Here is a 15,953-nt window from a genome sequence, read left to right as displayed (position 1 = left end):
AATGCTGTGGTTTTCAGAAACATTCTTCTTCAGAGTCATTTATATACTAGAACAAGTAATGAGTTTAGTTTAAAATAAATATGAACATCAGGAATCAATTAGCTGGCCCAAATAACATAAACATATTATATGTATGTTTTAAGTTTATTTTTGCAGAGTTTTTATTTTGGGGTATAGCAGGGTGAGTGGTGAAGTGGAAGGAGCATAGAGTTGGTATTTACACAGATCTTAAGAGTAATCTTAGTTTGTTCTCTGGTTCTTAAATCTCAATCTGCACAGGACGGATAAGAACATATGGTTTGTGAGGGTTAATCCCTGTAAAGAACTTAGTCCAGAGACTGGCACATATTAGGCTCTCCCTGGCAGTTATTATGATTAGCATTTTCTTAGTTATGAGGTAAGAGAAAATAACACATATAAAACAGATATCCTATTGGCTTAAAAACATAGCCGTTGCAAGCAGGACTAGTGCAAAAAAATGTTCTCAAACATCATTATAATTTTTATATCTCAGGCATGCTGAATGATATTTGGCCAGCATATGGTCTACTCTGAATGTTTTGCTTGTTTTTGAATATAGGTATGAAGCCAATAGAATATAAGTCAAGCAGGTCCTCAAATACTGTTGTTTTGTTCAACTCGTTCAGTGATAATGTTGATAAGAAAAAAAAAAAGTCCGTTCCCAGTCAGGGCCACTATGTGGCGATTACATGTTCTCCCTGTGCCTCCGTGGGATTTCACTGGGCACTCTGGTTTCCTTCCACATCCCCAAAATGTGTACAGAGAATTGCTGTCTCTAAATGGTCCCAGTCTGGTTGAGTGGGTATATGTGCCCTACCATGAGATGGTGTCCTGTCCAGGACTGGTTCCCGCCCTGCGTCCTGAATGTTTGGGTTGGGCTCCAGCCATTTGGGGCCCTGAACTGGGATAAGCAGGTTGGAAATGAATGAACAAATGAATGAATGAATACAAATTGTTATCAAATAAAAATCTGTAAACTCTACCATAATTATCCAAATGCACATAATAAATAATGCAGTACAAAAGCACTCAGAGCTCATCATATTTGTGATTGATTCTGAACTGCATGGTGGGAGGACATGCTCCTTACAATTTTCACTTTTCAAACGTTTATACCTTAATTTAACCCAGCACTACTATGACCACCGTCATTCACTGATTCACCAAAAATTGGATAAATAATTATTTCATTTTTCATTAATCTTTCTTAAATGTATGTGTAGCTCACATTTAGTTCAATGTTCAGTATGAAACGTGTTTTCAGTCTTTATTTAGAAGTTTGGTGGTGTATTTGTGATCAGAAATAGACTGTAGGAACTTAACTCTGGTTTATATCAGTGAGCCTATGGTCAAATTGGTTTCATTAAAGTTGATTTGCTCAATGTAGAAGTTTCCAAGAGCCTATCGAGGATATTAAGTGAGGACTTACTGTACATTGAGTAATATGGGTTCTAAAGTCTGTTTTTAAAATAATACTTGAACTGCATTATTCATGTCCTGACTTGCTTAGTGACTTAAATATATATGTAATTATGGACCAGACAACTTGAAGATCTAAAAAAGATAAAGTGTTTTTTTTTTTTTTTCTAAATGGCATATTTCATGTAGTGTACTGTTTTGAAGGTTGATCCGTGTTATAGCCTGTATCAGGACTTCTTTCCTTTTTATGGCTGGATACTTTTGGTTAATCCATTCATCTGTTGAAAGAAACTTGGATTGTTTCCACCTTTTGGCTATTGTGAATAATGCTGCAGTGAACATTGTGTTCAAATTTTTGATTGAGTCCCAGCTTTCAATTATTTTAGGCATATATGTGGGAGTGGAATTGCTGGGTCATATGGCACTTCTGTATGAGTCTACTTAAATGAAAATTCTCGAATGAGTAACTAGAGACAGAAAGTATATAAGAGGTTGTCAGGGGGTAGGAGGTTGAAGGAGTGAAGAGTTATTGCATAATGGTGATGAAGTTTGAGTTGATGAAAAATGTTCAGAAATAGATAATTATAGTTGTACAATATTGTGAGTGTAATTAATGCTACTGAATTGTACACTTAAAAAATCTAAAATGGCAAATTTAATGTTATATGTATTGATCACAATTAAAGATAATAATAGTACAATATACCAAAAACCACTGTTTGCTTTTAAGTGGGTGTTTTGTATGGTATGTGAATTATAACCCGATAAAGCTGTTTATACAAATGGGTCACACTTACAAAGGGAAAGTTTAAGGTTCCAAACATATTTTATATTGACCACGTCACAGTAACTACCAAGTACCTGGAATGAATTAGATTTGGGAAATTTATGCTTCCACTAAAAAGTAGCCTAGTTTTACATACCCTAAGACTACAAAAAAAATGTGAAGGGGCACAATTACTAAATTACTCATCTCCAGGGACTTTCAGCCTAAATAATGAAGTATGGAGTAATATCCATGAAGTGACTGGTAAGTTGAGATAATAAAAATCGATAAATTACATATAGATAGATACATACATACACCTTTGTGTGCATATATAAGTACCTGTATATAATTTGTAAATAACTAACTCAGGAAAGCACTGAAAAAGGCATTGTATTGTGCTACCTATTTTTTTAACACCTTTCTTTCAACTTCTCTTGTGTATACAAAATGACTAAGTAGGTGCACATTTTACAGAGTTTACATATAACATCCATTGTACATTTGAATCTTCAAAATCACCTCTGTTTAGATTATGAATAGTTTATTAGTAACTGTTGGAAAATGAAATATTTACAAATGCTGGCTTTCACTTTAATTCTACATAATGTTATTACTTGGAATTATTAAATATTTTATAAATTATAATTGAGATACATATGAATGTTTATAAATCATATATAGGAAACTTTAAATTCCAGATGCACATATGCCTATGTACACACACACGCACACACACACACACACAGACACAGACACACACACACACACAGACACCCCTTCTGTGTTGCTTAACCATAATTTGATTCCAGATTTGAGATATTTTGAATTTGAGAATGTTGTTATGGTTTATATTACTACCTGCTGCCCCACTCTCCAAACTCCCACCTAAATGTTAGGGAAGCATGGCAAGTGATAAATAGATTCAAGGTATGAAATGACATACTATCCTGTGTTAAAAATACTCATTGTTATATCAGATCGTTGTTCAATTCTGGTTTTTTATTGTTTGCTTATTTTTCAGCTGCTCCAGTTGATGTACTAAAAGCACTAGATTTTCACAATTCTCCAGAGGGAATATCAAAAACAACGGGATTTTGCACAAACAGAAAGAATTCTAAAGGCTCAGATACTGCTTACAGAGTTTCAAAGCAAGCACAACTCAGTGCCCCAACAAAACAGTTATTTCCAGGTATATTCACTTTATTATTATTATTGTTATTATTACTAAAAGTTATTACACTTTTGTTACTACTAAAACTACTTTTAGTATTTCTTTACTAATTAGTATTTTTATCAGGTTAGATAATGTGCAATTATATGGTAAAATGCAATTCTTTCTTATATCAGACACCAAATACCTTGTGGTCACCAAAGTAATGTAATGAAAATAACAAAAAATTTGATAATTGCCAGTCTTAATTCAACACAATCACATTTCTGTGAAAATATTCTTATTTGAACATTTAGTACTTCATTATTTGTACATAATATATGGAGACAACATTTTATATCTAGCCTATTTCTACTTGTAATTAGGTAGAGCTTATTCATCGTGACTGGGGTATAGGAGGGAATCTTTCCCCTTAATGACTTTCTAAGTTAATTTAATGGGCATTTGAATGTAAACATACTTAGTGCATGTTTTCCTAACATTAAGGTAAATGTTTCTGTTGAAAGAGATACTTTTTCTTTGCAAATAATTTTGCATTATTTTTTCATGCCGCTCTTATCTAAAATATAAGAAAAGTTAGTCACATCTCACAGTTATCCCTCCTGAAACTAGAGATTTTTTTAAAATATCAGCTGGCAGTTTTTCATAATGGTACTGAAAAGTACTTGCTGAATATTTGTTTTTCCTTCCATGAGAGCACTAATTGACCTAATAACACTAATTATCTAGAAATCATGATAATGTGGAGAAAGGGAATTGAGTGGTGAAATGACAATTTTCGAGCCTCATATTTTCAAAGCAGGTAACTTGTTAACTGTGCTTGCCTCCATTTGATACATACCAGTTATCTATTGATTGGTCAGTTGATGGGTGTTCTCATCCTTATTTAACAGAGGAGGAAACTGAATTTCACAGAGGCTCTCTGACTTGACCAAGTTATGTGCAGTCAATATTTAATCTAGGTCTGTTCTGCTCTATATATTTTATATGTCATCAAATGGTCCTTTCTGGCACTTTGGGATCTTCTCAGCAGCAATTTATCATTTAAATTCTTCATATTATCCTATATTATCTCTGCTTGAGGAAATTTGAGTTTCCTATCTTCATATGAAACTGTTTTCTAACAAGAGAAAACAAGTATAAATCAAGGGATTAAAACATTACAAAACAGCACAGTACACTTTTCATAGAAGGACATTTTAAAATATATTGAAATACATTTATTTTGATTGTTCACTGATTCTTCCAATATATTTTCTGTTTTGCAATACTTTGTGGTGAACAAGAACAAACTGAAAATATAAAGAATAAAATGAACTTTTTTTCTGACTTTGAAAATAAAAAAGTTAAAGTGATTATTAAATCCATAAAACATTTTAAAAATAGATTTAAAAAAATTAAAAGTAAAAAGGTAAGCTGCTTTTTCTATTTATGTGCACTCTGCTGCATTTCCTAAAGCATCCTTAATAGAAAAAGGGATGGGAATTTTGAAGAGAGTAAAACAAAGAAAAATATACCAATTAAAAACCTTTAGAACTACTCAGATTACAGGTTACAATTTTTATACTTTAGCTCATTATCTCAGGGTCAGTGTGTTCTGCATTCCAATGTGGTAGTTACTTAAAATCATTAATTTTATATAACTAATTTTAAATACTATATATTTAAGTGATAAGAGCCATATAATCAACATTATCTGACTGCTTTCTTTATGATACAGTCTCATATAATTTCCACAATAGTTCCATGGGACAGATTAAATTATTAGCCCAGCCAATGGATGGGAAGGGCAAGTAGGATTTTATTTGCCAAGAACACATAGCTAGGAGATGGTGGGTTGATTCCATATATTGGCTATTATGAATAATATTGCAATAAATATTGGACTGCAGATATCCCTTCAACATCCTGATGTCATTTACTTGGGACATATACCCAGTAGTAGGGTTGATGGATAATATAACATAGGAGTGCAGGTATCTCTTTGACATACTGATTGCATTTCCTTTGTATGTATACTCAGTAGTGCGATTGATGGCACTAGCTCTAATTTTTTGAGGAAATTTTTTACTATTTTCTATATGGCTGTATTAATTTACATTTTCACCAATAGTATGAAACAGTTCCTTTTTCTCTACATCTGCACCAACACTTATCTTTTGACTTTTTGATAGTTGCCATTCATACTGGAGTGGGGTAATAGCTCATTGCAGTTTTGATTTACATATTCCTAATGATTAACGATGTTGAGCATTTTTTTCATATACCCGTTAGCCATTTGTATGTCTTCTTCAAGATATGTTTATTCAGACATCTTGTCCATTTTTAATTGGATTACTTGTTTTTTTCTATTGAGTTGTTTGAGTTCCTTACATGTTTTTAATATTAACCCCTTATCAGATGTATAGTTTGCAAATATTTTCTCCTGTTCTAAAGGTTGTCTCTTCACTTTGTTAATTTTTTCTTTTGCTTTGTAAATACTTTTTAGTTAAATGTAATCCTATTTGGATGTGGTAGGGCTGGGATTTGAGCCAAATGATCTGACAAGATTCAGAACTTTCAATTGAGATACTGTACTGTCTTCCACTTAACTAGTCTATGCATACATTTATAGCATAAAAATGTATTCATGCCTCTTGCTGTTTTTTCTTTTGTAATATGTTTTAATAATTTCCACTTCATAAAACATCTTTCTGCTACATTAAGTGGCTGCATACGATTCTATTACATACCATACATATTTGTATTTTATTTAATCAGTTTCAATCATTGCAGCTTATTATAAAATTTTATTATTATAAATAGTACTTTGGTGATTTGAAAGTACAATACATTTACACATAAGCATCCTCTCCCCATACATTCTTAGAAGTAGAATTGCTGATCTCCTACAATTGTTTGAACTTGAATCCAAGCCAGACATAATCATATTTCTTTTATAGATTTATACTACTGCCTGTAATAGAATTTGGAATGAATGGATTGAAAAAGGAAGGCCTTGATATTAGGCTAGATATTGTTGATTACACATGCACATACACAATGGTTTTGCAAAAAGACAACTTTTCAACTAAAGGCATCTCATTTCTCAAATAATAATGCTTGCTTTATTTATATGCCAGAGTAGTAAGAGGCTCAAATAAGATATATTTGTAAAACTATTTTGAAAAATAAAACCCGCAACTTAATATACATTGTTTTATAAAAATATAAGTACTCATTACTTAATTATTTGAGATATACTTAGGGTAATTGTTTAACTGATATATTTATATAACAGATGCTTAGTAAGGACCAATGTAGATCAGACTGTATGCTAGATATTTGGCATATGATTGAGAGAGAGAAGAAAAGAAAAAGAGTCTGCCTTCTTGAATTTAAAATCAAGTTAGCCAATTACCTAATAGTTCTGGCTCATAATGACATATGCTTCTTTAATAAGAAGCAATATACAGTGAAACTGCATTGTTTGATATTAAGAACTAATCGAAAACTCTTAAGCTTTTAAAGAAACAACAGAAAGAATACGTTTGTAAATTGGGTCATTACAATGCCTCTTTAAAGTGGGCATGTATGGCTACGGACTAGACAAAGACAAAAAATACAAACTTTAGGCCAAAATTAGCACTTAAATAAATGTTTTAAGAGTGGTGGTTATGTGTTTGATATTTACTGGTATCATAATCCTGTTGCCTAAACCAAATTTAATTTCACATAAACATTGTGCTTTAAGTACTTTAAGTGAGTGTCTTTAAAGTTTGACTATAGCTTGGATAAAAATTGAAGAGAAACCTTAATGGAGGACCCCTATTTATTTATTAATCTGTTTACTATTCAAAGTTAGTTGATTTATAAAGGCCATGTAGAAATTTCAAAAATACCACAGTGATCTAGGAATAAAGTAGAAATTGGAAATTGGAAATTTCTAACTCTTTGGCCTTTTCTTCTCAGGTGGAACTTTCCCAGAAGACTTTTCAATACTATTTACAGTAAAACCAAAAAAAGGAATTCAGTCTTTCCTTTTATCTATATATAATGAGCATGGTATTCAGCAAATTGGTGTTGAGGTTGGGAGATCACCTGTTTTTCTGTTTGAAGACCACACTGGAAAACCTGCCCCAGAAGACTATCCCCTCTTCAGAACTGTTAACATCGCTGACGGGAAGTAAGTAACAAAATAATACAATGTTTTAGCTATGCCAAAATCATTTTTTTTATTCAGTCACTTAACAAATATTTATGAAGTGTGATAAGGTTTTTCTAGAGGCTGGTGATAAATAAATGAGCAAAAAATACATAAAGACATAATTTATAGTGTGTACAGGGAAACAATAAACAATGTTTTCAAAATAAATTACTAATAAGTAGTATAGCAGGTGGTAATAAGTGTGAAAGAAAAAGAGAGCAGTAAAGAGGTTAGGGTGTGGCAGTGGGGTGGGTAGTTTTAAGAAGTGACATCAAGCCAAATCCCACTAAGAAAGTGATATGTAAAGAAGGTAAAGTGCATGCCATGCTGTTCATTAAAAGACTAGTGTTCCAGGAGAAGCAGGAAGCCAATACAGTCTCTGATTCCAGGGTGTGGCCAGTTTGTTCCAAGCAACATCAAGGATACCAGCATGGCAGGAGAAGAGTGGGATGATGAGGATGGAGAAGCAGAGGGAGGCCAGATGGTATAACACATTGTAGGAGGTCGTAAGCACTTTGGATTCTACTCTGAGAGAAACAGGAAGTTACTGGAGGCTTTTTGAGCAGAAGAATGATCTAATTTGACTTACGTTTTACTAATAATATTAATATTGGAGATCAGAGGAAGCATTATAGAGTGCTGATATGTGCCATGTACTAAGGTCTTTATACATTGTTAACTCATTTAGTTTTATTGATTCCTTTAAGAAAGTAATGTTAACAAACTAATTTTCCTGGTAAGGGAACTGAGGCTCAGAGAGTTTAAGTAATTTGCCTAAGTTCGTATAGTTGGAAAGTGATAGAGATGGGGTTTGAACTCAGGAAGTCAGGCTTGCACTGCGCTCTTTTGCAAATCATGTCGAATTCTGAATTATGTATTGTGGTTGTTTCCTTTCACTTATGGAGCAGCTAAATAGAAATTAATGCTTATTAAATTTACTCAATATTTTATCACTGAATCCAGACCTCTAAAAACAGCTTTATCCAAAATAGCACATTTGGTTATAGCTATAAGAAGGAAGTAGCAGTGATCATTGACACTCATTATATTTTTGTCAGGACCACAGAGAAACTCTCAAGTCTCAGTTTTACTGAGACTTTACAACTTTAGGCTTTTACAACTAATTTACATTATTATCCTATAAACAAATTAGATATAATAGCACGTTGTGTTTCTTTTTTTGACTGTTAGCAAACTCCATGCTAAGGTTTTAATCTATATTTGGTAAATGTAGAAAATATTTTGAATTCATCTTATTATTCACACCTTATTTTTCCTTAATCCTGCTTTCCTAACTGAAGAAAAAAAAACAAAAACATCAATTTATTGCAGCCCAGCCCACATCCTATTCAAAACTAGCAGGTAGTGTTTACTATGAATGTATCCTTAAAGTAAAACATGAAAAAATAAAAATAAAAAAATGGAGAATGTTCAATAAATATTTTTAATTGATTATCAAACAGAAGTTATATTTACATATATCACAGTAGTAAAATATTATCTTGATAATATGTTGAATACAGTTAATACCTAGTAGTATTAATTTTTTTCATTTGTATATTCCTTCAATAACAATTTATTAAATGCTTACTGTGTGCTAGGTAGGTCCTATACTTTTACTTGAGACAGTTAAAAAGTGACATACTTGTTGAGCTCAACTGCCATAATAATTTAGATGCAAAAATATTGGTATTTAAGCACACTGTGATGTTTTTAAAGAACAATCATGACATTCATCATGAGTGAACATTCATTCCATAAGTATTTATCTATTAGCCACCGCTTGGCTGGCAGTCTGTAGAGCACAGCAGTTGTAGCAATGAACAACCCAGGTGAAGTTCCTCCACTCCTGGAGCTTAAATATGCGAAGTGCTGATAGTTCTTTGAACGAAAATAAATCAAGATAAGAGATGTAGAGTGTACTATTTTAGATAGGACAGTTTAATATGAATGAATCCTCAAAGTAAAACATGAGGTTTCACTCATGTTTTTTTGAGTGAGGTTGCATTGAGCAAAATCACAAAGGAAGTGAGAGAATAGCCATGTAGGGATGTGGAGAAAGAACAATCCTGCCTGGGTGAAGAACATGTGCAAGGGGCAAAAAAGAGGCAGCCTTGTGGCTGGGATGCCAGGAGTCCAGGGGGCGTCTGAGCTCATGAGGTCATAGAAGGATAGGGGACCCTCCTGTGAAGCAGAATAATGGCTTCAGCTTTTACTGTGAGTATTGTATTTGATAGTTTTAAGAATGCAGATCCTTGATCTGACTTAGATTTTTAAAAGGTGGCTCTGGATGCATAAGAGTAGAAGCAGAGGCCAGTTAGGAGTCTAGCTGTGAGAGATGGCAGCTTGTACTAAATTGAGAGATATTGGATTCTGTTTATACTTTTGAATATATGAACTGATAGAATTTTCTGACTATAGGAGTGTGTAGTATGAGAAAAAGAGAATAATTAAGAATGCCTCTAAGGCTAAATGTTAATTTGGTATTTTGAATATTATATATGACACCATGATTATGACATATCATTATCATAGCCTACATTAATTAAACAAAAATATCAAGTTTAGAGTTCTAATCAGTTTTAATTATTGAAATTGTTTTTATTTTCTGTTAATGAAAAGCACATACCTATAATACTGGGAATGGCTTAAGTGAAGACCCAGATTTCTTGGCATGAAGTATGTGTAAATTTTACTCTCACTATATTAAGTAGCTCCTTATATAAATCTTTGCTCAATTCAAACCAAGCAGACACCTATGCCAGTTGAATGTTCTAGTGGAAAGACCAAAGATTAAGTGTATATGGAAATACACTTGGTCACCATGCCAAGTCACATGAAACAGACATTTTACGAGGGCTCCTGCAACTTTTTGGGTATTTTATTTTATGGATCTAGTCCTAGACACTTCTGGAATATTAATCTAGCACTTTTCATTTGGAAAAAAAATAAAATATAAACCAGACTGGCTTGCAGAATTGAGTGGGCTTCATTTAATGGTTTATGTTAGCACTATACATTGTTAATAAAACCCACCATTTTACAGTATGGTTAGGGAATGTGCATTTCCAAAGGGCTGGCCATGTCTCCCCAGCCAAGCCTGTCATCACTGCTCTAAATTAGCTGGAGCAGTAGCTGCAGAGTGAATTGAGAGTCTCATTCCACACATGCGTTGACTATGTTTTCTTTCAGTTTTCCACATCTGCCAACCCTGGAAAGAAGGAAAGATATTGTGTCTCAGTCTTGGATCCTGCCTACAGTAGTGATCTATAACTGTCTTGAAATTAAAGTGGAAAAATAATGAAAGCACTTGAAATAAATGTGAATAAAGACAGAGAAGCACATTGTGTTTTACAATTAGGACGTTGACTTGCTCTAGATGGAGCGCTCATTCAATTAGTAGACATACCCTGTTACAGTCAATCTCAGGGGATCACTAGAGCGGAGTTTTTTTAAATGGAATTCCACTTTGGAAGAAAGCATTTATGTACTTGGAAACTATTACTTACCCCATATCCCACCCTAATCTCTATCAAATACCTTCATCAGGACACAGTGAGATTAAGCTTTTGTTACTACAACACAAAGTGAAGCAAAGGATGGGCACTTCCTTATCAGCACAGACAGCTAATTCTACTGTGCATTTTATGCTGCTTGTGTCCTTTTGGGTACCTAGTACTGTTGGGTAACGAGTAAGTAGTCATCTGTTAACTGGCTGCTTAATAAATGAGCCTACATTTTTTGTATGATTTTAGCTCATTTTTATAATTTAAAATACACAGCATTTTTATGTGAATACTGCTTTGGCAACCACTGTTTCTTTGAAGCTTACAAAAGAATTACTTGTCTTTTTTAGGTGGCATCGGGTAGCAATCAGCGTGGAGAAGAAAACTGTGACAATGATTGTTGATTGTAAGAAGAAAACCACGAAACCACTTGATAGAAGTGAGAGAGCAATTGTTGATACCAATGGAATCACGGTTTTTGGAACAAGGATTTTGGATGAAGAAGTTTTTGAGGTAAAAATAAATCCAACTCTAAGCTGAATATTGACAAATCAGATGAACTGGGTTAACAACAGTAAAAATATCGCTTTATAGCAATACGTTATAAAGCAAAGTTGAAAACTCTAAAGGGTGACCTAGTTTCTTCCTCTGTGAGTATAGTGGTGATGTTTTCTATTGTTCAGTAAGAGAATGACCAGACAATGGTGACCGTAACGCCTGGGAAACATTTACAGGGATTGGTTGATTTGAACACAGACATGCTATTCTCCTGGGAAGGACAAACGGCTTAACTCTTAGTAGTTTGTATTATTTTCTTTGCAGAAAAGAACATTTTCTTCATTTCATTCTATGGGAGGTTAATTTAGAGAGATGCGCAAGTCATATATTTTGCCTTCCTCTGTTCTTTGTGAATGTTTTTTAAGGTAAAATAGAGATCATATTGCAAAATATAAATTTTAAGTGTTTAAATCACTTTAAAAAATATGTAAAGATCATGGTAAGATATTTCCATCAAATTATATTTCACTAATTATGATAATCACATTCTTTTAGTCCTCCAATCATTGGATATGACAACTTATGCTTTAACTTTCATTTAGTCACTTTTTAAAAGAACAAATGACCTGAATTCTGACACCATTAAAGGATGCACTCTCGAGACATTATTTATTATTTCTGTGATTGTTTTTAAACAATTTGAGTCGTTTCTTTGTCAAGGTGTAACAAAGTAAAGCTGTGTAATATATTACAAATTAATAGACAGTTTCACCTGGAGATTTGCTATATTTTTTGATGTGTGACTATACATACACAGATGTGTACACACACATATATATATACAAACATACAGACAGTATGTATTTTCATAAACAGAACAATGTTCATTCAGAGCATCAGCTAGACTATTTCATTCCTGTACTTATAAATATATCCTACAGTGTAGTTTTATTTAAAATTATTATTATAATAAACATTTGTGAAAGTTCCATATTATTTATTTGAGATGCTATCGTTTCTGACTTTTATCCACTAGTGTGTACCAAAGCCTTTAATTCTACATAAAATATTTTAAACTATCATATCATGCTAGATTATGTAAATAATAAACTGATTCAGGTAGTTTATAATGGTAATATACTCTCAGATATCCCAATATCCAACACTGATTGCATGCACATTATGATAAACAATTATTTATTCATTAGGCAAATAAATATTAATATAATTTCTAATCTTGAAAAGCATTATTTTAAAAATAAAACTATTCATAAACATAAGTTGCATGTGAATTATGAATAAATTATAATTTATTTTTGTAACCCACACCTTATTTTCCAGGAACATAAATGTGTAAGACAAAAGCACAGTATCAGTGGAATTTCTTTCCTTTTTTAAAAATTGATGCTTAACTTTGTAAAACTATATCCCACATTCTGAATCCTGGAGTAACTTCAGCTCTTTAGTTGGAGAAGCTATTAAAACATTAAGAAAAGTAATGTTGAAAGGATTCTTTAATGAAACCCTTAGTGAATATGACAGTGAGTAGTGAAAAATAAGTTTATTAAGCTACTTCGCATCCTAGAGTTTCATGAAACCCTATGAAGTTTTAAATAAAACATTTATTTACTATTAAGTGTAGTTAGTTTTTAAAATGTTAATGAATAAAGAACTTACTCTCTCAGTTTATCTTTTACAATCTTTGACCAGTTAAAGGGGAAACAATTTTTACTTAATAAAATATTTAGAAGTCTGTAGAGTAGGAATCTTTGAATTGGATGAAATTTAGTATTTATCTAATTCATATACTCAAACAGCCATCAGATATAAGATTCAGGTCTTACTTTCTAAATTATATTATTGTATGTATATATGAAATTTCAAAAACAATTTGGTCTCTTTCCACTTGAAAATAGTGCATGAAGAAAATAAGTAATTCAAATATATGGATGTTTAGTCCAAATTTAGAAATTTCCACCATTTTGTAAAATTAGTTCATTCTACCTGATGTTAATATCTCTTTTCTTAAAAACTTATTCGAGTATGTTTTTCCTTTTATTTTTGGTTTATATTATAATACCTATATACTTATGAATCTTTGCAAGTAAACACATAGAATTTAAACTGAAAATGACAGGAGATAGAAATTGTACTGTCTATATATTATGTTAGTGTTTTATAAATAGTTGTGATGATGAAGATAATATGATAATACCAGTGATTCATTAGTCTGAAAACTAGAAATGTCACTTTTTCAGGCATAGCATAAGTCAGATTTAGTTGCAGATTTGTTTGGTATATGTAATTTCATGTATACACTGCCCTACATTAATAGAATGGTACTACTATGGTAAAAATATTAAACATGGTCATATTTGAATTTCAATCTAATGACTTTTTAGAATTCAACTTTATACAGCTAAATGCAAAACTGAAGATGATTTTAAAGTTGGAACAATTATAGTTTACATATTATGCTCATCATATGCTCACCACAAGAAGAGCATATAGACTCATAATTCAGATTTTATAATTTCAGCATAGCAGAGTGAGTATATGAATTGATTTGGGGATGACAAAAATCCGATTTTGAATCCCAGCATATAGCTTAATATTCAACCTTCTCTATATAATTACTCTATATCAGTTTCAAATGGGAAATATAACAGAATCTTCCTCATAAGGATTTATAGAAAAAAAATGAGCTGATGTATGTACAGTCTTTAAGATACTAGTATAAATATATATATATATATATATATACAAACACATATGTAATATAAATGTGGTTGTATGTTAACTTAATTATCCATTAATGTGTAGTTTTACAAACATTATTATTACTTCTTTTTCTTATGATTTTACAACCATGACATTTCAACTTTTGATATGGGCAACTAACAGTGACCCATCTGTCAGTCAGAAGTCCTCGTGGGTCCCTCTGTCTGTCTGCTAAAAGTCCTCATGGGTCCGTCTGTCTGTGTTCTAAATGAAGTACTTCTTTTCTGGCCTACTGCAATTTTACAAATTACCTTGTAGAGATTAGATACATTTGTCCCCTCTAGACAGAGGTAACACCTGAGTACAGACCTTAATAAATGGAGTGTGGTCTGATTGAATGAATATTTCCATGCAGGCAAAAAAAAAAAAAAAAAAAAAAAAAAAGTCCTACCAACACAAATCAACAGCCTTGATTTTTTTTTCCTGCTAAATAAGATTCAAAGATGTGAGGAAAATTAAATTAGAAAAGTTGTATTGCTTGTATTTATTGTCAATACAATTATTTTTGGAGTCTTTTAAACAGGAAAATTTCCTTATTAAATAGCAAGTTATAGCCATTGCTCAAGTTTTCAAAACATCATTATTTCTGTTTCCTAATTTTTTAAAATAATCAAAACAGATTATTGCAGGTCTTTCATATTTTTTAACAAATAGCCATCTTTGGGGAGATTATTTATTTCGTGGAAGCAATGAGTAGAATATGACATATGATGGCTATTTGAGTAGAAAAGCTTTGTGATGGACATTTTGCATTTTTTTAAACTCCTCAGAAAATATTTTGAATTCAATTTTCTGTGGAGAAATCAATGAATAATAATTTATAACAACTATGCTATTTGATAACTGTACAAGGCCTGAAAAAAGTAAGATTAGCAAACTTTTTTGAGATGGCGTTTGAGATGGCCAATACTAAAGCCATCTCAAAAGCCATTAAGAGCTTGATTATTGCTTTATGGTGTCCATATATCTTTTTAATGCATATATTATCCAATATACACACTTAAAAGTTGAATTTTAGTAGACATGGTTTTCCTATAGAACAATGTTATAAGATGGAGATAACCTTTCCATTTATCCACTTTACCCAGTCTAGATGCATTTAGTTCTTGGTCCTTGTGATTTTTTTTCTAAATTTATTGAGTTACAATTGAATCACAATAAACTGCAAATATTAAAAGTATACCATTTGATCAGTTGTGACTTATGTATACAGCTGTGAAACCATCATCATAATCAAGAAAATAAACATTGCCATCTCACCCAAGAGATTCCTTATCATCTTTTTTAATTCATTCCTTCTTCCATCCTAACCCCAGACAATCATGAAGTAGCTTTTTATCACTGTAGCTTTTCTGGGACTTTTACAAATGGAATTATACTGGGTGCACTCATTTTAACTTAACTCGTTTTAACTCGTTTTTTTTCCCTTGTTATTAATAGTATGTCGAATTATGTTGATTGGTTTTTCAAATATTTAAAAACAACTTTTCAATCTTTAGAGGTCTATAGACTGTACTGGTGATGTAGTATGTTGTCTTATTTATATTACATACAATTCAGTTCTTACTTAGTATAATGATCTTAAGAATTACCCATGTTTAT

General features: G+C 31.9%; 1 protein-coding gene across 9 annotated transcripts in view; it reads left to right on the top strand.

Moving 5' to 3' along the window:
- The window catches only part of COL11A1 (collagen type XI alpha 1 chain), a 232,050-nt gene that overhangs the window by 22,320 nt on the left and 193,777 nt on the right, over positions 1 to 15,953 (top strand). For all 9 annotated transcript variants that reach the window (NR_134980.2, XR_007085257.1, NM_001190709.2 and 6 more), the window contains exons 2-4: positions 3,231 to 3,398; positions 7,332 to 7,545; positions 11,423 to 11,585. Coding sequence is in view for 7 of the 9 variants with exons in the window: in NM_001190709.2 (NP_001177638.1) it covers positions 3,231 to 3,398; positions 7,332 to 7,545; positions 11,423 to 11,585 (545 nt within the window). In the remaining 2 variants the exon portion in view is untranslated. The remainder of the gene's footprint in view (positions 1 to 3,230; positions 3,399 to 7,331; positions 7,546 to 11,422; positions 11,586 to 15,953) is intronic.

The sequence above is a fragment of the Homo sapiens genome, chromosome 1 (genome assembly GCF_000001405.40).
Source record: "Homo sapiens chromosome 1, GRCh38.p14 Primary Assembly".
Taxonomy (NCBI): Eukaryota; Metazoa; Chordata; class Mammalia; order Primates; family Hominidae; genus Homo; species Homo sapiens.
The sequence above is the reverse complement of the archived record's forward strand: the minus strand, read 5'-3'. Positions and strand labels throughout refer to the sequence as shown.